Source organism: Homo sapiens, chromosome 18 (assembly GCF_000001405.40).
Source record: "Homo sapiens chromosome 18, GRCh38.p14 Primary Assembly".
In the NCBI taxonomy this organism is placed as follows: Eukaryota; Metazoa; Chordata; class Mammalia; order Primates; family Hominidae; genus Homo; species Homo sapiens.
The window spans coordinates 21,063,721-21,084,880 of record NC_000018.10 but is presented as its reverse complement, the minus strand read 5'-3'; the positions used below and the strand labels follow the sequence as shown (position 1 = coordinate 21,084,880).

At 37.0% G+C, this 21,160-nt stretch overlaps 1 protein-coding gene across 1 annotated transcript in view; it reads left to right on the top strand.

Annotated features, from left to right (window-relative positions):
* ROCK1 (Rho associated coiled-coil containing protein kinase 1) overlaps positions 1 to 21,160 on the top strand; it is a 164,908-nt gene that overhangs the window by 26,933 nt on the left and 116,815 nt on the right. Inside the window, exon 2 of the mRNA NM_005406.3 lies at positions 14,268 to 14,349. Coding sequence (NP_005397.1) covers positions 14,268 to 14,349 — 82 coding nt within the window. The remainder of the gene's footprint in view (positions 1 to 14,267; positions 14,350 to 21,160) is intronic.

The following is a 21,160-nucleotide window of genomic DNA, read 5'->3' as shown; positions in this document are numbered from 1 at the left end:
TTTATCCATTCATCTGTTGGTGTACAATTGTGTTGTTTCTACCTTGAGCTATTTTGAATATGCTGCTGTGAACATTGGTGTACAAATATCTGTTCGAATCCCTTCTTTCGGTTCCTTTGGGTGTATACCCAGAAGTGGAATTACTGATCAGGTGGTAATTTTATGAGAAACTGATACACTATTTTTCACAGCAGCTACACTGTTTTACATTCCCACCAGCATTGCCAAGGGTTCCAGTTTCATTACGTTTCATTCCAGTTTCATTCTAACACTTGTTCTTTTCTGATTTTTTAAAATAATAACTATCCTAATGGGTGTCAAGTGATGTTTCATTGTGGTTTTGATTTGTATTTCCCTAATGATTTATGATGTTGAGCATCTTTTCATGTGCTTATTGGCCATTTCTGTCTTTGGAGACGTTTTTATTCAAGTTTTTGCCCATTTTAAAATTGAGTTGTTTTGAATTTTAGGAGTGCCCTACATATTTTGCGTAATAATCTCTTATCAGATATATTATTTGCAAATATTTTCTCCCATTCTGTGGATTGCCATTTCACTCTGTTAATACTGTTCTTTGATGCACAAAAGTTTTTAATTTTGATGAGGTTTAGTTTGTTTTTTTTTTGTTGCCTGTGTTCTTGGTCTCATGTACAAGAGATCATGGTCAAATTCAATGTCCTGAAGCTTCCCCCTATGTTTTCTTCTAAGCATTTTATAGTTCTAGCTTTTATGTTTTGGTCTTTGATCCCTTTTGAGTTAATTTTGGTATATGGTATATTGTAGGGGCTCCCACTTGATTCTCTTGCATGTGGATATGCAGTTTTTCCAGCACCATTTGCTAAAAAGACTGTCCATTATTGAATGGTTATGTCACACATGTTGAAATTAATTGACCATATGTATGTGTGGGTTTGTGCCCCTTTTCCCCCCGCCATTCCATTTTTCTGCACAATTGACCCTTGAACAACATGGGGATTAGGGGCACTGACCACTACCCTCTCTCCATACATTTGAAATACATGAAATACATACTTTTTTAATTTCCCCAAAACTTAACTACTAATAGCCTGCTGTTGACTGAAAGCCTTACTGATAGCAAAACCAGTTGATTAACAACACGTATTTTGTATGTTATATGTAAATATATGTACTGTATTCTTACATAATGTTAGCCAGCAAAAAGAAAATATTACTAAAATCATAAGGAAGAGAAAATATATTTACTGTTCATTAAATGGAAGTGGATCATCATAAAGGTCTTCATATTCACCATCTTCACATTGAGTAGGCTGAGTAGAAGGAAAAGGAGGAGTTGGTCTTGCTGTTTCATGGGTAGCAGAGGTGGAAGGAGGTATAAGTGGACTCATGCAGTTGAAACTTATGTTGTTTGAGCACCAGCTGTATGTGCTTGTCCTTATGCCAGCAGTACACCATTTTGGTTACTGTAGCTTTGTAGTGATTTTTGAAGTCAGTGAATTTGAGTCCTCTAACTTTGTTCTTTTTCAAGATTGTTTTGGCTATTTGTGATCTGAGATTACATTTGAATTTTAGGATGAGGTTTTCTATTTCTGCAAAAAACACCATTGGGATTTTGATAGGGATTACATTTAATCTGTATATTACTTTGAGTAGTATTGCCATTAAAAAAAATATTTTTTCCAGTCCATGAACATAGGATGTCTTTTCATTTATGTCTTCTATAATTTCAGCAATGTTTTATGGTTTTCAGTGTACATGTCTTTAGCCTCAGTTAAATTTATTCTTCAGTATTATTTGTTTTGATGCTTTTATAAATGAAACTGCTCTTAAGTTTCTGTTTGGATTATTCACTGTTAGTATATAGAAATGCAACTGATTTTTGAGTATTGACTAACCTGTAACTTGGCTGAATTTGGTTATGGGCTCTGACGGATTTTTTTGTTTTGTTTTGTTTTGGTGTGTGTGTAATCTTTAGTTTTCCACCTATAGGATCATGTCACCTGTGAATAGATAATTTTATGTCTTTGTTTCCAATTTGGATGCCTTTTATTTCTTTTTCTTACCTAATTGCTCTGGCAAAAACTTCCAATAATGAGTTGAATAGAAGTGACAAAAGGTGACATCTTTGTCTTGTTCCTGATCTCAGGAGAAAAGCTTTCAGTCTTTCATCATTGAGTATGATGTTAGCTGTGGGATTTTCATATGTGGCCTTCACCATGCTGAGGAAGTTTCTTTCCATTCCCTGTTTGTTGATTGTTTTTTATTATGAGAGGGTGTTGAATTTTGTTGAACATTTTATCTGTATCTAATGAGGTGATGTGGTTTTTGTCCTTTATTCTATTAATGTGGTAGATTACATTAAAATATTTTTGTATGTTAAATCAACTGTGCATTCCTGGCATAAATCCCACTTGATCCTGGTGTGTACTTCTTCTCATATGTGCTATATTCTACTTGCTGTTATTTTATTGGGCATTTTTATGTCTATATTCATATGTTTCATAAACTCTGATATGTAATTTTTGTGTGATATTTTTAGTTTTGCTATCAGGGCAGTGCTGCACTCATAGAATGAGTTAGGAAATATTTCCTTCTCTTCAGTTTTTTGAAAGAGTTTGAAAAGGATTCGTGTTAATTCTTCTTTAAACGTTTGGTAGAGGCCGGACATACTGCCTACTCACAATCTGTAATCCCAGCACTTTGGGAGGCCAAGGCAAACAAATAACGTTGAGCTCAGGAGTTCAAGACCAGCCTGGGCAGCATGGTAAAACCCCATCCCTAAAAAAAAAAATTAACCAGGTGTGGTTGCTCACACAAGCTACTCAGGAGGCTGAGGCTGGAGGATAGCTTGAAGTCCAGGAAGCAGAGGTTGCAGTGAACTGAGACTGTGCCCCTACACTTCACCCTGGGCAACAGAGTGAGACCCTGCCTCAAAAAAAGGAAAAAACAAACAAATAAAAATACATAAATGTTTGTTAGAATTCACCAGTGGAGCCATCTGGCCCAGGGATTTTCTTTCTTGAGAGGTTTATTATTACCATTTCTGTCTTCTTACTTGTTACAGTTATTGGTGTATTCTGACTTTCCATTTCTTTATGGTTCATTTTTGGCAGATTGTATGCTTCTAGGAATTTGTCCATTTTATGTAAGTTACCCTTTTTTTCTGGTGTGCAGATGTTCATAATATTCTATTACAATTATTTGTAGAATTGATAGGAATGTCGTCACTTTTATTTCTGAAATTACTAATTTGAGTCTTCTCTCTTTTTCCCTTAGTCAGCTTAACCAAATATGTGCCAATTTTATCTTTTCAGAAGACCTACTTTGGGTCACATTGGCTTTCTCTGTTATTTTCCTATTCTGTGTTTTATTTATCTTCACTTTAATCTTTATTCTTTCCTTCTGTCAGCTTTGGGTTTCATTTGCTTTTCTTTTTCTAGTTCCTTATAGTATTAAGTTAGGTTATTTTTATTGATTTTAAAAGCTTTTTTTCTTTTTAAAATGTAAGCATTTATAGCTATAAATTTCCTCCTTTGCACTGATTTTTCAGCATCCTACTAGGTTTGGTACATTGTATTTTCATTTTCATTTGTCTCAAAGTATTTTCTAATTTCCCAATGATTTTTTCTTTGACCCATAGTTTTAAGAGTTCATTGTCTAATTTCCACGTTTGTAATTTTCCAGTTTTCCCCTATTATTGTTTAGTAGTTTCATTCCATTGTGATTGGAAAAGATACTTTGTGTCATTTTGGTCTTTTAAAAGTTATTAAAACTTGTTTTGTGGCATAACATAATAAGTCTATTCTTGAGAATGTTCCATGTGTACTTGAGAAAAATGTGTATTTTGTTACTGGATAGAGTGCTCTCTCTCTCTTTATAATCTGTTAGGTCCAGTTGGTTTATAGTGTCGTTCATGTCCTCTGTTTTTTTATTAATCTTCTGTCTGGTTCTATTCATTACTGAAAATGGATTATTGAAATCTCCAACTATTTGTAGAACTATGTATTTCTTTCTTAAATTCTTTCAATGTTTGCTTCACATATCATGGGGCTTGTATATTTATATACCAAATGTACATATTTGACGCATATAAATTTATGATAATATATTTTTGGTGAATTAACTCTTTTATCAATATGTAATGTCTTTTTTGTCTGTTAACCATTTTTTTAACTTAAGGTCTGTTTTGTCTGATATTAGCCTACCCACCTCAGTGCTTTTTTTATTTACTATTTGCATGGAGTATTTTTTCCCATCTTTCACTTTTAACCATTTGTCTTTGGACTTGAAGTGAGTTCCTTATGGGCAGCATATAGTTGGATCATGGTGTTTTTGTTTGTTTTTTAAAATCCATTTTGTCAGTCTCTGTAGTTTGATTGGAGAGTTTAGTCCATTTATACTTAAAGTGTTAGTTTTTAGCTCCAGAATTTGTTTGGTTTCTTAATATAGTTTCTTTCTCTTTGTTGACATTCTCATTTTGGTCATATATAATTTTCCTAGTTTCCTTTAGTTCCTTTTCTGTGTTTTCCTTCAACTCTTTGAACATATTTAAGACAGTTTTTAATGTCTTTATCAAGTCCAATGTCTGGGCTTCTTGGATATGGTTTCTGTTCATTTATTTCATTCCTCCCAGCCGTGTTTTTCTGTTCCTTTGTATATCTTGTGGTTTCTTTATGGAAAATTGGCCGTTTAACTGTTATAATGTGGTGATTTTGGAAATTAGATTTTCTCTATTCTCCAGGGTTTGCTAGTGATATGGCTTTGATGAGTGGGGGAACACCAGGGTCTTCGTCTCGAGTCGAATTAGAAAAAAACTACAGGAACACACGTGGATCACATACCGAAAGGAAGGAGAACGCTTTTGTTCTCACTTCTCTTTCTAGATGGGTAACAGATCGTCTTCAACATGCACTCCCCTGGAGTGTATTTTAAAGCACTGGGACTCCTTCGACCCTAAAACTTTGAAGAAAAAGCAGTATTCTACTGCACAAGGGCATGGCCTTCCTATCCTCTTCGTAAACCTGGCCTGGGGAGACTTAATTTTAATATTATCCAACAGTTAGAACTTTTCTGCACACAGGAGGGCAAATGGACTGAGGTCCCCTATGTACAGGCTTTCTTTGCTCTGCGAGACAACCCAGACCTTTACAAGTTCTGTACAATCGACCCAGTTCTTTTAGTAGCCATGGCAGGCAAACCCACAGGGAGTAGTTCCCCAGAGCTAAAGCGGGCTCCAGAGGAGCAATCTAAGACAGCTACTGAAGTCCCAACCCTTCCGGTTCCACTCCAGTTGTACCATCAGCACCACCATCTCCAGTATGTCCTACTCTCCCCTCTTCACTCTTACCCCTCCAGGAAATGCCTGATGGGAATGGTGCCATAAGGGTTCAAGTTCCCTTCTCATTGCAGGACGTTAAGCAAACAAAGGGAGACTTAGGTCAATTTTCTGATGACCCTGATAGGTATATAGAAATTTTCTGAAATTTAACTCAGGTGTTTGATCTCACGTGGAGGGATGTTATGTTGCTGCTAAGTTAAACCCTCACTACAGCTGAAAAGCAGACAGTTCCGCAGGCAGCAGAAAAATATGGAGGTGAGCAACATGCCTCCATACAGCAGACCAAGGAAAAAAAGAGGAGAAAAGGAAGGTGAGGAAGAGGTGAAAACTTCACTCCTGCAAGGAAGGGAAGCAGTTCCGGTAAATAACCCTAACTGGGATCCCAATAACTCAGCAGATGAATGGAAAAGGAAGCACTTTTTAAGGTGTATATTAGAAGGCCTGCGAAAGACCACAGCTAAACCTCTCAATTACTCCAAACTGTCCATGATAGACCAAAAACCAGACAAGAATCCCACAGCTTTTATGGAAAGGCTGAGAGGGGCACTAATAAAGCACACTTCTCTATACCCCAATTTAGTTGAGGGACAGCTCATCCTGAAGGACAAGTTTATTACACAGGCAGCTCCCAATATTAGAAGAAAGCTACAGAAGCAAGCAGTAGAACCAGATAGCACCCTAGAAAGCCTCCTGAGAATAGCCACTTCAGTCTTTTACAAAAGGGATTGGGAGGAGGCCCGAGAAAAGGAGAGGAAGTACAAGAGAAAAACAGAGGCTCTAGTAGCAGCATTACAAGCTTGTAAAGTCCTGAATCCCCAAGGTGCATCCACTAGCTGTTATCAATGTGGTCAGTCAGGGCATTTTAAGAAGGAATGCCCAGGAAGCAAGACAAAGCCACCTTGACCCTGTCCAGCCTGTGGTGGAGACTACTGGAGACAGACCTGCTTTGGTCTTTTGTTCTGGGTTCAGAACTAGTCTCACAGATGGTCCAGCAGGACTGATGGGTCCCAGAGCTCAAACTCCATCCACTCAGACTGCCATTACAGCACAGGTGCCCCGGGCTTTCCTGCTAGACAAGAGCTGCGAAAAACCTTCCAAAGGACCCTTTTTTTTCCTCTCTATCTGCCTAAAATAATTTCTTAATAACTCCTACCACACTAGGTTCTCTCTCTCTCTCTCTCTCTCTCTCTGTGTGTGTGTGTGTGTGTGTGTGTGTGTGTGTAGGTGGGTGTTTTGAGATAGAGTCTTGCTCTGTCACCCAGGCTGGAGTGCAGTGGTGCCATCTCAGCTCATTGCAGCCCCTGCCTCCCGGGTTCAAACGATTCTCGCACCCTAGCCCCCCAAACGGTTGGGACCACAGGCGCACGCCACCACACCCGGCTAATTTTTGTATTTTTAGTAGAGACGGGGTTTCGCCATATTGGCCAGGCTGGTCTCGAACTCCTGGGCTCAAATGATCTGCCTGCCTTGGCCTCCCAAAGTGCTGGGATTACAGGCATGAGCCACTGTGCCTGGCCAGTTTGTTTTTTATTGCTGATGGCTGTAGTACAAATGACTGCAGTCCATTTGTTTTGAGACTTTTCCAAATTGTTTTTGCAAAGACTATTCCTTACTGTGAGTGATTACTGAAGTCTTGGTTCCTTTAGCTTGTATTCAGCTAATGTTTGGACAGAGATTTCCTTGAATGTGAGATGCTCCAATACATACCAAAAAAGCCTCAGAAAACAAAAAGAGAACCACCTCTCAGTCTTTGCAGATTTGCCCTCTGCTGGGGTACTCCTTTACCACTTAGCTAGGCTTGTTCTGAGTTTCAGGATGAAACTCACATGAGATGAGAGCTTAGGATCTTCTCAGGATTTTCCTTAGCATGCTTTTTTTGCCTGGGCTTCACACGGCTTTTTATATTCTCCTGTATACATGGCTGCTTTTGAATCATCTAATTTCCCAAAAAAGTCTCGCCCCACTTCTCCTCTGGGCCTAGATGGTCTATTGTATGTGTTGTGTCCATTAGTCCTCCCTACTCCCCCATCTTTTACCTCAGGTGTGTCAGTAGGTTTTGTAGTTAGCTTCCTTGTAGCCTTTATGAGCAGCACCAGCTGCTTTTCCTGCCTGTGTTCTGAATTATGTGAAACAGAGTTTAGGTTCTTGCCTTAGTCCTTCAGGTATCTCCCATACAAGATAGAATGAACATACACAGTATGGTCTTATTCTACCCTCTTGGGTTCAAGGTGTGGGGGAGTAGGAAGAGGAGGAACCAGTCTGCTACCTGCTCAAGACTTAAGACTGTCCTTGGCCGGGCGCGGTGGCTCACGCCTGTAATCCCAGCACTTTGGGAGGCCGAGGCGGGTGGATCATGAGGTCAGGAGATCGAGACCATCCTGGCTAACAAGGTGAAACCCCGTCTCTACTAAAAATACAAAAAATTAGCCGGGCGCGGTGGTGGGCGCCTGTAGTCCCAGCTACTCGGGAGGCTGAGGCAGGAGAATGGCGTGAACCCGGGAAGCGGAGCTTGCAGTGAGCCGAGATTGCGCCACTGCAGTCCGCAGTCCGGCCTGGGCGACAGAGCGAGACTCCGTCTCAAAAAAAAAAAAAAAAAAAAAAAGACTGTCCTTTTCTCTGGCAGGGGGTGGGACAAGAGCAAGTAAACTGCCATAACACTTTCCTACCATTTGGGATAGCTTTTACTTGATTGGATATTTGCTTGTTTTTTGCTATAAACCTAAATTTTCCAGAACTATTGCAGACCTGCTTCAGATAGCTTGTTACTTTTGATGTTTCTGTCGGTGAAGGAGAGCTTGGAGCTTCCTAGTCCACCAATTTGCTGACATCTGATAGTGACTTAAAATAAATTATGGCTCTGTGTGTGTGTGTGTGTGTGTGTGTGTGTGTGTATGTACCAAGAGGGGAGGATCACTTGAGGTCAGAAATTTTAGTCCAACCTGGCCAACATGGTGAAACCCCATCTCTACTACAAATACAAAAATTTTTATGTGTGTATATATATGTACACACACACAAACGTATCATAAAACTTATCATTTAACTGTTTCTTTTTTGTTTGAGACAGACTCTCCCTCTGTCACCTAGGCTGGAGTGCAGTGGCACGATCTCGGCTCACTGCAATCTCCACCTCCTGGGTTCAAGTGATTCTCCTGCCTCAGCCTTCTGAATAGCTGGGATTACAGGTGCCTGCCACCATGCCCAGCTAATTCTTGTATTTTTAGTAGAGACGGGGTTTCACCGTATTAGCCAGGCTGGTCTTGAACTCCTGACCTCAAGTGATCCTCCTGCCTTGGCCTCCCAAAGTGCTGGGATTACAGGCATGAGCCACCTAGCCCATTTAACTGATTCTAAATGTATAGTTCTGTGGCATTAATCATTCACGTTGTTGTGCGACCATCAGTGATGTTTAAATGGCAAATGATTTGGCTTCTTTTGCATTCTCTATTCTGTTTGACTTCCTGAGATGTTTTAAATTCATTCTTAAGGCATTTCTTCTTTTTAAGTTCCTTCTCAGCTTCCTTGGTACTATTCTGTCTTTCTTCTCTGTGTCCTCCTCCACCATTTTTGCTCTGTGTACCTCTTTTTTTTCTTTCCTTTTTTTTTTTTTTTGAGACAGAGTCTTGCTCTGTCACCAGGCTGGAGTGCAGTGGTGCTATGTCGGCTCACTGCAACCTCCGCCTCCCGGGTTCAAGCGATTCTCCTGTCTCAGCCTCCTGAGTAGCTGGGACTACAGGTGCGCATCCCCATACCCGGCTAATTTTTTGTATTTTAGTAAAGAAGGGGTTTCTCCATGTTGGTCAGGCTGGTCTCAAACTCCGACCTCAGGTGATCCACCAGCCTCGGCCTCCCAAAGTACTGGGATTTCAGGTGTGAGCCACCATGCCCAGCCTGCTCTGTGTACCTGTTAAATGTTAGTGTTTCCCAGTGTTCTATTCTTCAGTCTTTCTCTACTCTCCCTGTTTATTCTTGTTGGATGATTGCATATGTTCTCATGGATTTAAGTGTGCTCTCATGACTCCCAAATCTGTATTGTAGTCCCAATCTCTCTGTTAAACCCAAACTTATATTCAGCTGCCATCTAGTTATTCATGAAATGATATCCCAAAGGACCTCAGATGTAGTGTGTCTGAAATATTTATCATCTCTCCAAATTATATTATCTGCCTTGGTTAATGAAGTCACTGTCTACTCACATCAACTTGAAGATCATATAATCATTTTCAACCCTTCCTGTTCCTCTTTCAATTATTCATCAGATTCTTTTGCCTCTAATGCCCCATTCCTGTTTACCCAGTTTTTCAGTCTTTTATCCTTTTATGCTTGTATTACCACAGTATCCTCCTAGTTGCTTTCATCTCCACCTGTCTCTTCTACTTTTAATTTATCATCTTTATCATTGCCAGACTACTAAAATAAAAACCAGTTATGCCACTTTCTCCCCCGCAGAAATTCCTGTGGTTCCAAATTATCAGAAGGTAAATTCTTCTCCTGGTATGTTATACCTTTAACATTCTCTCCCTGATCATCACAGCTTTGACTCCTTCTCCTTCATCTCCTTCTCACCTTTCCCAGTCCAGAACATTCTATCCTCATTCTCTGAATTCTCGTTGCTTTTCACCTCTAGATTGCCTTGCCCCACTTCTGTCTTATTCCTTCATAATTCTATTCTTCAAGGTTCAGCTCAAATTTCATCTTCTCTGTGAAGCCCCAAATAGCCTTTTCTCTATTTATGTAGTACCTACTTATAACACTTGATATCCTGTATTTACTTTTTCTACCTACTAACTAACTTCTGAACTCTGAGAGACAGGAAGTATTTTTTTTCTGCTTTCCTGCAGAAGAGGAGGCAGATTTAGAAATAAATAATTACAGTATAACAGCTAAATACATAATTTCTGTAATAGCACAAAGGAGGTTATGTAACATTTCCCCTCAGGGCACTGGGGAAGGCAGCACAAAGTAAGGGACATTTGAGGCAGTCTTAATGTAAGAATGTTCACATTCCAGCGGGAGAATAGAGCAGGTGCAAAGGCCCCATAGGGTAGAGTGAGCCTGGCTTATTTGGGAAATGGCTGGTAGCACACTGTGGCCTAAGCCCAGCTATGTATGTGTAGAGAAACAGGCTGGACAAAGGTATGATTGGAGACTGATTGGGAAGAGCCATTGTTTGTTGTACTAGATAATTTGGAACATTATTTACTTATTTATTGACTATAAATGTCCTGGGCAGCATTGACATGGGTATAGTAATGTCACACCAGTTAAACAGATTTTAACTGTATTTAATATCAGGTTGTTAAAATTCCCTAAGGAAATTCTGTTTTCATTTTCATAGCTGTGCTTAATTTTGATGAATTATTTCTTTATCAAGTGAAGAGAGATTGACAGACTGATTGATTTTTAGAGACAGGGTCCCACTCTGTCACCAGGGCTGTAGTGCAGTGGCAAAATCATAGATTACTGTAGCCTTGAGCTCCTGGGCTCAAGCGATCTTCCTGCCTCAGCCTCTCAAGTAGCTGGGACTGCAAGCATGCGGCACCACGCCCAGCTATTTTTTTTACTTTTATTTTTGTAGAGATAGGGTCTTGCTATGTTGTCTAGGCTGGTCTTGAACTCCTGGTTTCAAGTGATCCTCCTGTCTCGATCTCCCAAAGTGCTGGGATTGCAGTTGTGAGCCACAGCATCTGGCCTAAGGGACTTAGTTAAAACAACATTCTACTACATATACCAAAAACATTTTCTTTAAATGGTATATCCTCTCTTACCAAAGTTGGTCAGCAGTCTTTAGTACCAGTGGTCAGCCCATTTTAGAAGTAGTTTGATTTTCAGAAGCCCCAGTTTTGCTGCCATAGTTTTCAATGGATTTTGAGGGTGGGGTGGTGTTTCTCCAAAAATATGTCTGTTAGGTTTAGAATAATAACCATTTAGGTTTTGAAAATTTACCTAAAAATGAATGTTTCTTATAATAGTGTAACTGTCCTTTCCTAGTGCCATTAAATTCTCATACCTTATAATGTGTTACTTTTAATGGATTTAATCCTAAATGATGTTTTACACCTGACTCATATTTGTTAATTCAGATTTATCCAGAAAACTAAAGTTTGTAGTAGTGTTGAATAATTTTCTTTTGCTTCTGCTTTCACTTGAACTCTGTTGTGGCATAACACAATGGACCTCTACCTCCTCTTCCCCCTGCTCCCCCTGCCATATCAGTGCTTCTCAGGAAATGTGAAGTGTTTTTACTTTAGAGATCACTGTAAAATGTTATACTTTTAATTGATTATGCCTGCCTTTGTGTGTATATGTGAAAATACTTCTCTTATGTAACTACCTTCTTTTAAAATGTAACTGCTACAACTGGTCTACTACCCTTGTTCAACTATTAGTAGCAAAGAATTTAATTACTGTAATTTTTTGACATTGATTGGCCCCTCTGTTACATATTTTCTCCTCCACTTTTGTTTTTTTTTTTTTTTTTTTTTTTTTTTTTTTTTTTTGGAGACGGAGTCTCTTTCACCCAGGCTGGAGGCATGATTTTGGCTCACCGCAACCTCTGCCTCCCGGGTTCAAGCGATTGTCCTGTCTCAACCTCCCGAGTAGCTGGGATTACAGGTACCCACCACCACCATGCCTGACTAATTTTTATATTTTTAGTAGAGATGGGGTTTCACCATTTTGGCCAGGCTGGTCTCTAACTCCTGATCTCAGGCAGTACGCCTGCCTCGGCCTCCCAAAGTGCTGAGATTACAGGAGTGAACCACCGTGCCTGGCCTCCTCTACATTTTTAAATTGATGATTAAGCTATATGATGGACATGTTGTGAAAGTAGAAGGTAGTTTTGCTCATGCCTAAATCATAAAATTAAGTGAAGGATCAGTGGAAGTATATCCTTTGATTATCATTCCTCGTGAATTGTTTTTGCACTTGGATGAATGTTATGTTAACATTCCGAGTCCTGGTACTAGAATTTGGACTTTTAGGAAGTGTGGAAGTCTTATCTGCATTATTTTATGGAACTTCAGAGTATTGAATAAAAGCTAAGGTTCCTGCCTCATTTATAGTTGGACATACACATTCCTTGCATTGTGCAGCTTTTCCACTGCATTAAAATGGAAGCCTGCATCCCTCTCTCCCACCCCAGTGTCTTGACTCCCCTTAGAAACCTCAGTTGGTATATGCTTTGGTTAAGTTAGAAGAATACATTCTTGCCAACTTTATTTCCCTAATAAAGGCACACAAGTTTTGCTTATGGGTGATGCTGAAAAGTAATAGACTATCCCATGGTATTGTAGAATTAAAGTGTGTGGTACCAGGTCCAAACACTTAGTGACTATATGTAATTAGTGGAGGCAGCTCATTTTTCATTAACAAACACATGATCAAATACTTGGTCACGCAAAACTCAGATGCCCATGTGTAACAACAACAAAAGTACTTTGGATTACTGCATTGGGGAAGGGTTTAACATCATGACCTAAGATTTACTTTTAAGGTTTTATGACCACGTGACTAAAATGTCTGTTTTCTGTGTAGGTCATTCCTGTTAATAGGGAGACTAACATTCAGAGCTTTCAAATGTCAGTAACAGAAATAAAAGAGAGAGAAGTGAGACTATTAAGGTCCAGACACTTCACATGTTAACTCATTTAATTCTCACAAATCTGTTATGTGTTGTAATCATTATCCCTCATTTTACAAAAAAGAAAACTGAGGCTCAGAAAGGTTATGTGACTTGTTCTCCCAACGGTATCATGTAAATATACTATTTTTTTCTTTAAAATGCTTTTGCCTGGTTCTTTATTTTTTTAATGTTTTGACCTGTCTGGAACTGATTACATTATTAAGCATCACGCAAAAACCATTCTTTTCCATAGTGCTATTCAATTATACAAACAACATTTACTAAAGAGTGAGACTTTATAGTGAAGATTGCTTAGGATTATCTGAAGTTCTTCCAGTTCCTGCCATGCAGCAGGATATAGTCTGAATAGATGCTTTCCCACTTCAACACTGCTTGGTATACCTTCACACTGCCATGCACTTGCTTAGATAATATTTAAATATCCACTTAAAAGCAAAAGTTCGGCCAGGCGTGGTGGCTCACACCTGTAATCCCAGCACTTTGGGACTCTGAGACAGGAGCAATTGCTTGAGGTCTGGAGTTCAAGACCAGCCTGGGCAATATGGTGAAACTCTGTCTATAAAAAGACGAAATTTAGCCAGGTGTGGTAGCGTGAGCCTGTAGTCCCCGCTACTCAAGAGGCTGAGGCAGGAAGATGGCTTGAGCCCAGGAGGTGGAGGTTGCATTGAGCCAACATTGCACCACTGCACTCCAGCCTGGCCAACAGAGCAAGACCCTCAAAAAAAAAAAAAAAAAAAGCAGAAAAAATGCAAAAGCTCAGGTGTGTCCTTTACTGCTAGCTTTCCCTAGAAAGTGCCTCAAAGAAAGAAAGAAGACCCATGACAATCTAATACATTTTTATAATTAAAAATGTATATAGCTTGCATTTGTGATTATGCAGTATTTATTTTATATTAAACCTCACATTTTATTATTATTTAGCTGTTACCTTATAAAATATTTATAGTAACAAATGTAGGTTTTTGATGTCTAAGATAAAGATAAATGCAGTAGTAAGGAGAAGTAATGCAAAATAAAATTTCATGTCCTTATGAGGGGAAAAGTGCATGGATTGAAATCACTTGCAGCCAATCTGTGGTAATTTTCTTGCCCCTGGGCCTGGCAGACTTAGAAGGTAAAAAGAACTGCATATGAAATGAAAACCACTTTTCTCCCAGTACTCATCTAACCTTGTAGAGGGTGTTAAATGTACACAAGATGTGTTAGGGGAAATTAAATATTAAAGCGTATATTTTATTCTTTCATAAAAAAGGAGACTGTATAATGTGATCCAAAAAACTAACCATTGTTTGTTTGTTTCTTTAGGATGGATTGGATGCTTTGGTATATGATTTGGATTTTCCTGCCTTAAGAAAAAACAAAAATATTGACAACTTTTTAAGCAGATGTAAGTAATTTTTTGTGGAGGTTAATGACAGACTTCATATAACTACATTTTCACTTATGTCATTCAAGCCCTTATTTTTTCTTCTATTTACTTTTTGGTGATTTCATCAATGATTTCTACATAGAATTTAGTAGGAAGTGTGAAAGAAACAATTTGGATGCCTGTTAGGAGAACCAAAATATTTTGAAGAGAAAGGGATGAAAAATAGTTAAAATAAGTATTCAAAAAACTGTGCATTGAGTTTGAATAACTGCACATTGAGTTTGAGTAACTGCTGAGACATGAGAATTTTTCTCCATGAAAGCTGTTTTATATTTAAATTTTACAGATATTCTTTTCCGAAGGCTCCTTTTTAGATTGGATTTTATCATTTAAAAATTTGATTAAATAACTTATAATTTCAAACTTTTAATCTTAAAGAATTGATAAGATTTAGATCATAAAGTCCTCCTTACTTTATTTATTTCTGTTTCTGAACTATAAATATTGATACATGTAAGTTTGATTGGTTTTGGTGTTATCTTTCAATTTTGGTTATATATGTTTTATTACAAAGGTTTTGTTTTTCTAAATAGTCATATCTTTTTGATTTTTTAAATCACTTCTATACTTTGAAATCTTGTATTAGAATTTTTTAATTTTATGATCTTTTAGTTTTTCAATTTTTAAAAAATTATTGTTTTATTTTCGTTTTTGAATATGGTGCCAGATTCTGAACTGAGAAGTTTTTAAGTATAAAAGTTTTAATTATTTCTCATGTCCTATGGACATAGCAGTAAAATTTTATTAATATTTACAGTTGCTTACCTCCCTACCTGACAACATAGTGAAGGAACTAAAAAGATGGAGAGGCTTGACTATTTATCTTAATGGTAACTGGCATTTATAGAGATGGTGTAGATAAGGGGTAAATGCTCCTTAGTACAAAGGCAGAGGGTGGGGCATGGTTTTTTTTAAAGTAATGGCTAGCAAGAATGAAATTCATGCTTCCTTAAACTGTGCTACTTTGTTGCTTTCATAATGTTAAGTATGCTTGTATATTTTATAAATAGAGACATTAATGCTTTAGTAGAAATAAGTGAAATAAAAGTGTAAATCTAAAGTAAACTGTTTTAACTGGTAAACCTGTACAATTTATTTTAATTTTTAAATTGGAGAAAAATGCAGAGAATAATATAACAAAATTTTAGGGCAGTCATATGTAGCAGTAGGTAAAAATCATGACCAAGGATAGTTTATGCCAGGATTACTAAGTTAGTATAAAATTCAAAAATCAGTTAGCTTAATTTACCACATTAACATATTTTAAAAAGGAAATTTAGTAGATGCAGAAAAAGCATTTGATAAAATTTAATATCCATTCACAATTTTAAAATATCTGTCTGCAAACTAGGAAGTGAAGGAAGCTTCCTTTCCCCAATAAAGGGAATCTACAAGAAACCTACAGTTTAGATTGTATCTACTTGTTTAAGACGAATGCTTTTCCCCTAAGATTGGAAAAGGCAAATCTGTCCTCTCTTACCACTTTTATTTAACATTGTCTTAGAAGTTCTAGCCAGTGCCATCAGGTAAAATAAAGAAAAGCCGTACAGATTGAAAAGGAAGAAGTAAAACTTTCCCAATTTAGACAGCATGATTTTCCATATAGAAAATCCTCAAGATTCTGCAAAAAAGCTACATGAACTAATAAGTACATTCAGCAAGGTTGAAAGTTAGAAGATTAATATCCAAAAAGCAGTTGCACATACATTTATTAACAACAAGCAATTGGGAATTAATTTATTATAACAAATACAGCACCATTTACAATAGAAGCAAAAACATGAAAAATTTAGGAGTAAATTTGACAAAATATGTGTAAACCTGTTTACTGAAAACTATACAGCATTGTAGACAGAAATTAAGGAAGACCTAACAAGATATTCAATGTTCATGGATTGTACAATTCAATATTAAAATGTTAACAGTCCCCAAATTAATTGATCTATAGAGTCCGTATATTCTCAGAACCTTAGCAGACAGTTTTTTGTATAAGGTGACCAGCAATTCTGTAATTCATATGGAAATGTAAAGGACCTGGAACAGCCAAAACAGTTTCGAAAAGTAAGAGCAAGTTGGAGGATTAAGGTCAATATCAAGACAGTATAGTCTTGATGAAAGAATAAACACATAGTTCAGTGGAACAGAAAAGAGCATCTAGAAATAGACCTGTGCATGCAAGTATATGGTTAATTGATTTCAACAAAGGTGACAGGATAATTCAATGTTCAAGCCTCAGTTTCCACTGTATACAAAAATTAACTCAAAATAGATCATCAACGTAAATGTAAGAGCTAAAACAATAACACTTCTAGAAGAAAACATAGAACATATTTGCCACTTTCCTTAGGCAAGTTTTTCTTAGATAGGACACAAATAACACAAACCATTTTTGAAAAAGGATAAATTAGACTTATCGAAATTTAAAATAGTTCTCTTCAGAAGACACTGTTCAGAAAATGAAAAGATAAGCCAAAGGCTGGGAAAAAATAGTTGCAAAGCATGTAAAAGAAGAAAGAATAGTCCTTTCAACCAGTGGTGTTCAGACAACTGGATATCCGTACGCAAGGGAATGAATTTGGACTCCTACCTCATATCATGTACAAAAATTAACCGAAAATATAAAAGTTAAAAATGTAAAACTCTTAGGAGAAAACATAGGTTGAAATCTTCATGACCTCGGACTAAGCAGTGGTTTCTTAGACGTAATACCAAAAGCACAAGCAACAAAAGAAAAATAGATAAACTGGACATCATCAAAATAAAAAACTTTTATTTATGCTTCAAAGATACTATCAAGAGTGAAGGCCAGGCATGGTGGCTCACGCCTGTAATCCCAGCACTTTGGGAGGCTGAGGCGGGCAGATCAGTTCTGTCCAGGAGTTCCAGACCAGCCTGGCCAACATGGCGAAACCCCATCTCTACTAAAAATGCAAAAATTAGCAGACATGTTGGCAGACACCTGTAATCCCAGCTACTTCAGAGGCTGAGGCAAGGAGAATTGCTTGAACCCAGGAGGTGGAGGTTGCAGTGAGCCAAGATTGCACCACTGCACTCCAGCCTGGGCGACAGAGCAAGACTTTGTCTCAAAAAAAAAAAAAAAAAAAAAGAGTGAAAAGACAACTTACAAAATAGGAAAACATTAGCAAATCATATGTCCAATAAAGGACTGGTATCTAGAATATATAAACAAGTGTAACAACTCAATAATAATAAGACAAATAGTTCAGTTTAAAAGTAGGAAAAATATTTGAATAGACATTTCTCCAAAGAAGATGTAAAAATGGCCAGTAAACATGTGCAGAACTGTTCATGGTGGTTAGTCATTAGGAAGTTGCAAATTATGGCCACAATAAGATACTAGTACACCTCTATTAGAATGATTAAAACTTTCTAAACTGACAATATCAAGTATTTATGAAAATGCATTGCAGCTGGAACCCTGTACATTGCTGACTGGTAAATGGTAAGGCACTTTGGAAAACAGTTTGGTTGTTTCTTATAAAGTTATACATGCACTTTACTATATGACCCCAGGAATTCTGCTCCTAGATATTTACTGAAAAGAAATGAAAGCATATGTCTGCACAAAGAGCTGTATTAAAATGTTTAAGGCAACTTTATGTTTGCTGAAAACTGGAAGCAACTCAAGTGCCCGTCAGCTGATCAATGGATAAATTGTGGTACAACCACATAGTGGGATATTACTGAATAATAAAAAGTAATGAATTACTGCTATGTGCAATATCCAGCAATCTCAGAAGCATTCTGTTAAGTGAAAAAAGCCAGACACAAAAAGGCTACATACTGCATGATTCCATTTGTAGGACATGCTGGAAATGCAAAACTTTGAGCTAGAAATCCTATGGTTGAGGTAAAACTTCAGGAGTTAGAAAAGGGTATGAAGAAACCTTGGAATTCTGTAACCTCTTTGTGGTGATGATTACATGAGTATATGTGTTAGTCAGAAATGCATTGAAATCTATATACAAAAAGCATCATTTACTCTATGTTTATTAGTTATATTAACAAACTCAACCTTAAAAAACATGAAGTTTAATGCTCATTTAGTAATCAGCCTAATTCTAAACCAATATGTTACTTCAAGAAAAAAAATTACTTCTATGTAAGTTAATTTTTTAAGGAAAACAATGTATGTGGCTACCATGAAATCATAATAAAATTTAAAGACATGAACAAAAACAAGGTGAATAAACATGTTATAAGTGTAAATAAACATAACAAACTTATTTTTTCAATATAATTAGAACATTCTCCTTCAATTACTGGCATTGTGTTTTTATGTTTCACACAGAGCAATAGATTTGTATAGGATAGCATTTTACATACCGCTGAAATTCTTTTATATAGATTTAGCTTTCATCAGCAAGCACATCAAAATTATTTTATTAAAGGTAAATTTTTGTTTTGTTTCTAATTGCTTTTTGCTGACATATATCAGATGTAGTGATCTAAGAATATACCTGGAATATGGGATAAAATATTTTTCTTTAAAAAATTCAGCTTAAGTCATATTAAATTAAGCCTCAAATATAATTTTTAATCATCAGGTTTAATTATATTGCAACCTGTTAATTTTTATCTCTTTGTGTTAAGAAGTGTGTGGAAACAAAAGGGAAAGGAGAATCTGTGAACATTTGACTGAATAGTGAAATATAAAGATTTACTTTTCTGGGCTCTGGTGTATGATACCTAAATAATAAGGCTGCAAAGAAGATGTTTATCAGCCTCACATACCTGATAAGGAAAGATTTCAGGTGACATTTTCATAGGAGTTAGAGAGATGATACCAAGATAAAATTAAGCGATTGTTGTGGGAGTTAGTCACAGTTTTGAAGACACATGTTGGGAGCCAGAACATTGGGAGGATGAAGGGAGAGAAAATTTGGGAACAGTGATTATGATTGTATATGCTTATAAACCATTATGGATGTCACAGAGACTTTAGGGTACAAGATTCATAATTATATGTTAATAGAAAAACATGTTTATCAAACAAATCTTAGTCTAAAAGAAGATAATGGAGAAGGTAAGACCATTGAATGAAGAAAATTCATGAACCTCCGGGTATAAATGCAAGAGAGCTCATTTGTTTGGCTTAAAAAAAAAACAGAACTGATATTTTATGTCATATACTATATCTTTTATAATATAGATTACAAAAGTGACATAATAGCTATGGTAGTGATAAAAGCATACAGTACAGTTGGTAAATTTTTGGTTGCTTTGGCACTAGTACAATTACTGAGAAAGTAATGCGAATAATCACTATTCAGAGTTAGTGATCAAAAGCGATGATCATTTAGAATGTTACACAGACCTTGAGACAAAGCATTCAGTTCACTTTAGACCAGGGTTTCTCAAGTGGCACCAATGACATTTTAGGTCAGATAACTCTTTGCTGGGAGGCTGTTCTTTGCATCGTATGATGTTTAGCAGCACCCCTGGCCTCTGCCTTCTTAATGCCAGTAGCATATCCTAACACCTATCCCCAGTTGTGATCACCAGAAATATTTCTAGACATTGCCAAATATCCCTTGAGAGGCAAAACTGCCTAAGACTTTATGTTGATGAAGGAAAGAAATAGTGGGCGCAGTTAGACACGTGCTCCAAGCTTAGAAAATGTAATCAAAAGCAATAAATATTAGAAGGTTGCAGCCATAGAAAGCAAGGTTCTTCCACAGGGAGTTCTCAGCTGAGATTATAAAGTTTTATGAACCAGATCAGAAGTATGAATACATATCCAGGGATAAATACAAAAGAGTAGTATAAATCTATTAAAAATGTGTTAGGCTAGAAGACTATAATGAGCCACAACTTGTGAAAAGCTCTTAAGCCCTTTACAAGTCATTCTCTCTTCTACTCCCATCCTTCCTGGTTAGAATTAGGATTCAAGATGTGTGAGAAAAGGATAATTTCACTACATGAGACCATTCTTGAAATAGTTTTTGAATGACCAGTTACTAAAGACATGAAGAACAAGACTGTTTTTCTTAGAAACTGTAGCTCTTACCATCTCATGGATGGAAACACACACAGATATACCTTATAATAGTAGAAGTTTGTAGAGAATGTAATGATACACAGATCTTGAATGGGGTAAAGAAAGGCTTCCAAAAGAAAGTAATATTTGAGTCTTAAAACATGGGCTAGATTTTTCAATGGAGGAAGGACAGTTCTGAGAGGGAGGACCATTTAAATCACAGAGTCTTCCAAAAGTATGACATCTTTGAGGAACCAGGAGTTTGGTGTAAATTGAACTTGGTTTATAATGAGAGAGAAAGGGTCGGGAGGACGGACTGCAGGGGATGAGACTGAAATGGCAGGCTGGGGCTTTTGGGTTAATGGGTTGGATATTAAAAAAAATTACTTAGTTGCTTGTTTTTTCTTTTCAAATTCTCATGAGTTTTAAAAACTTAGATAAAGAAATTGAAGTAAGTTCAAGGAAGAGGAGAAAGTTTGAGTGTTTTAAATACCTCTAAATCAAGGCAGTTTACACCTATTGAATTAACATGCTGAGGTGATTGAAGATCTTTAGAGAAACTTTGGAGAATGATGGAGTTCCCAAAAAACTAAAGATAGGTAAATGGTCTGGTTATAATAAACCAAAGAAAAGACTGATAAGTGCAGATTTCTGAACAGTGGCAGTCTTCATACAGAGGCTTGACTTTCCCTCTTTTTCCAACACAACTATTGTTTAAGCTTCTTCATTTTCATTTAAATGATCACAAAAATCTTCCATTCAGTCTCA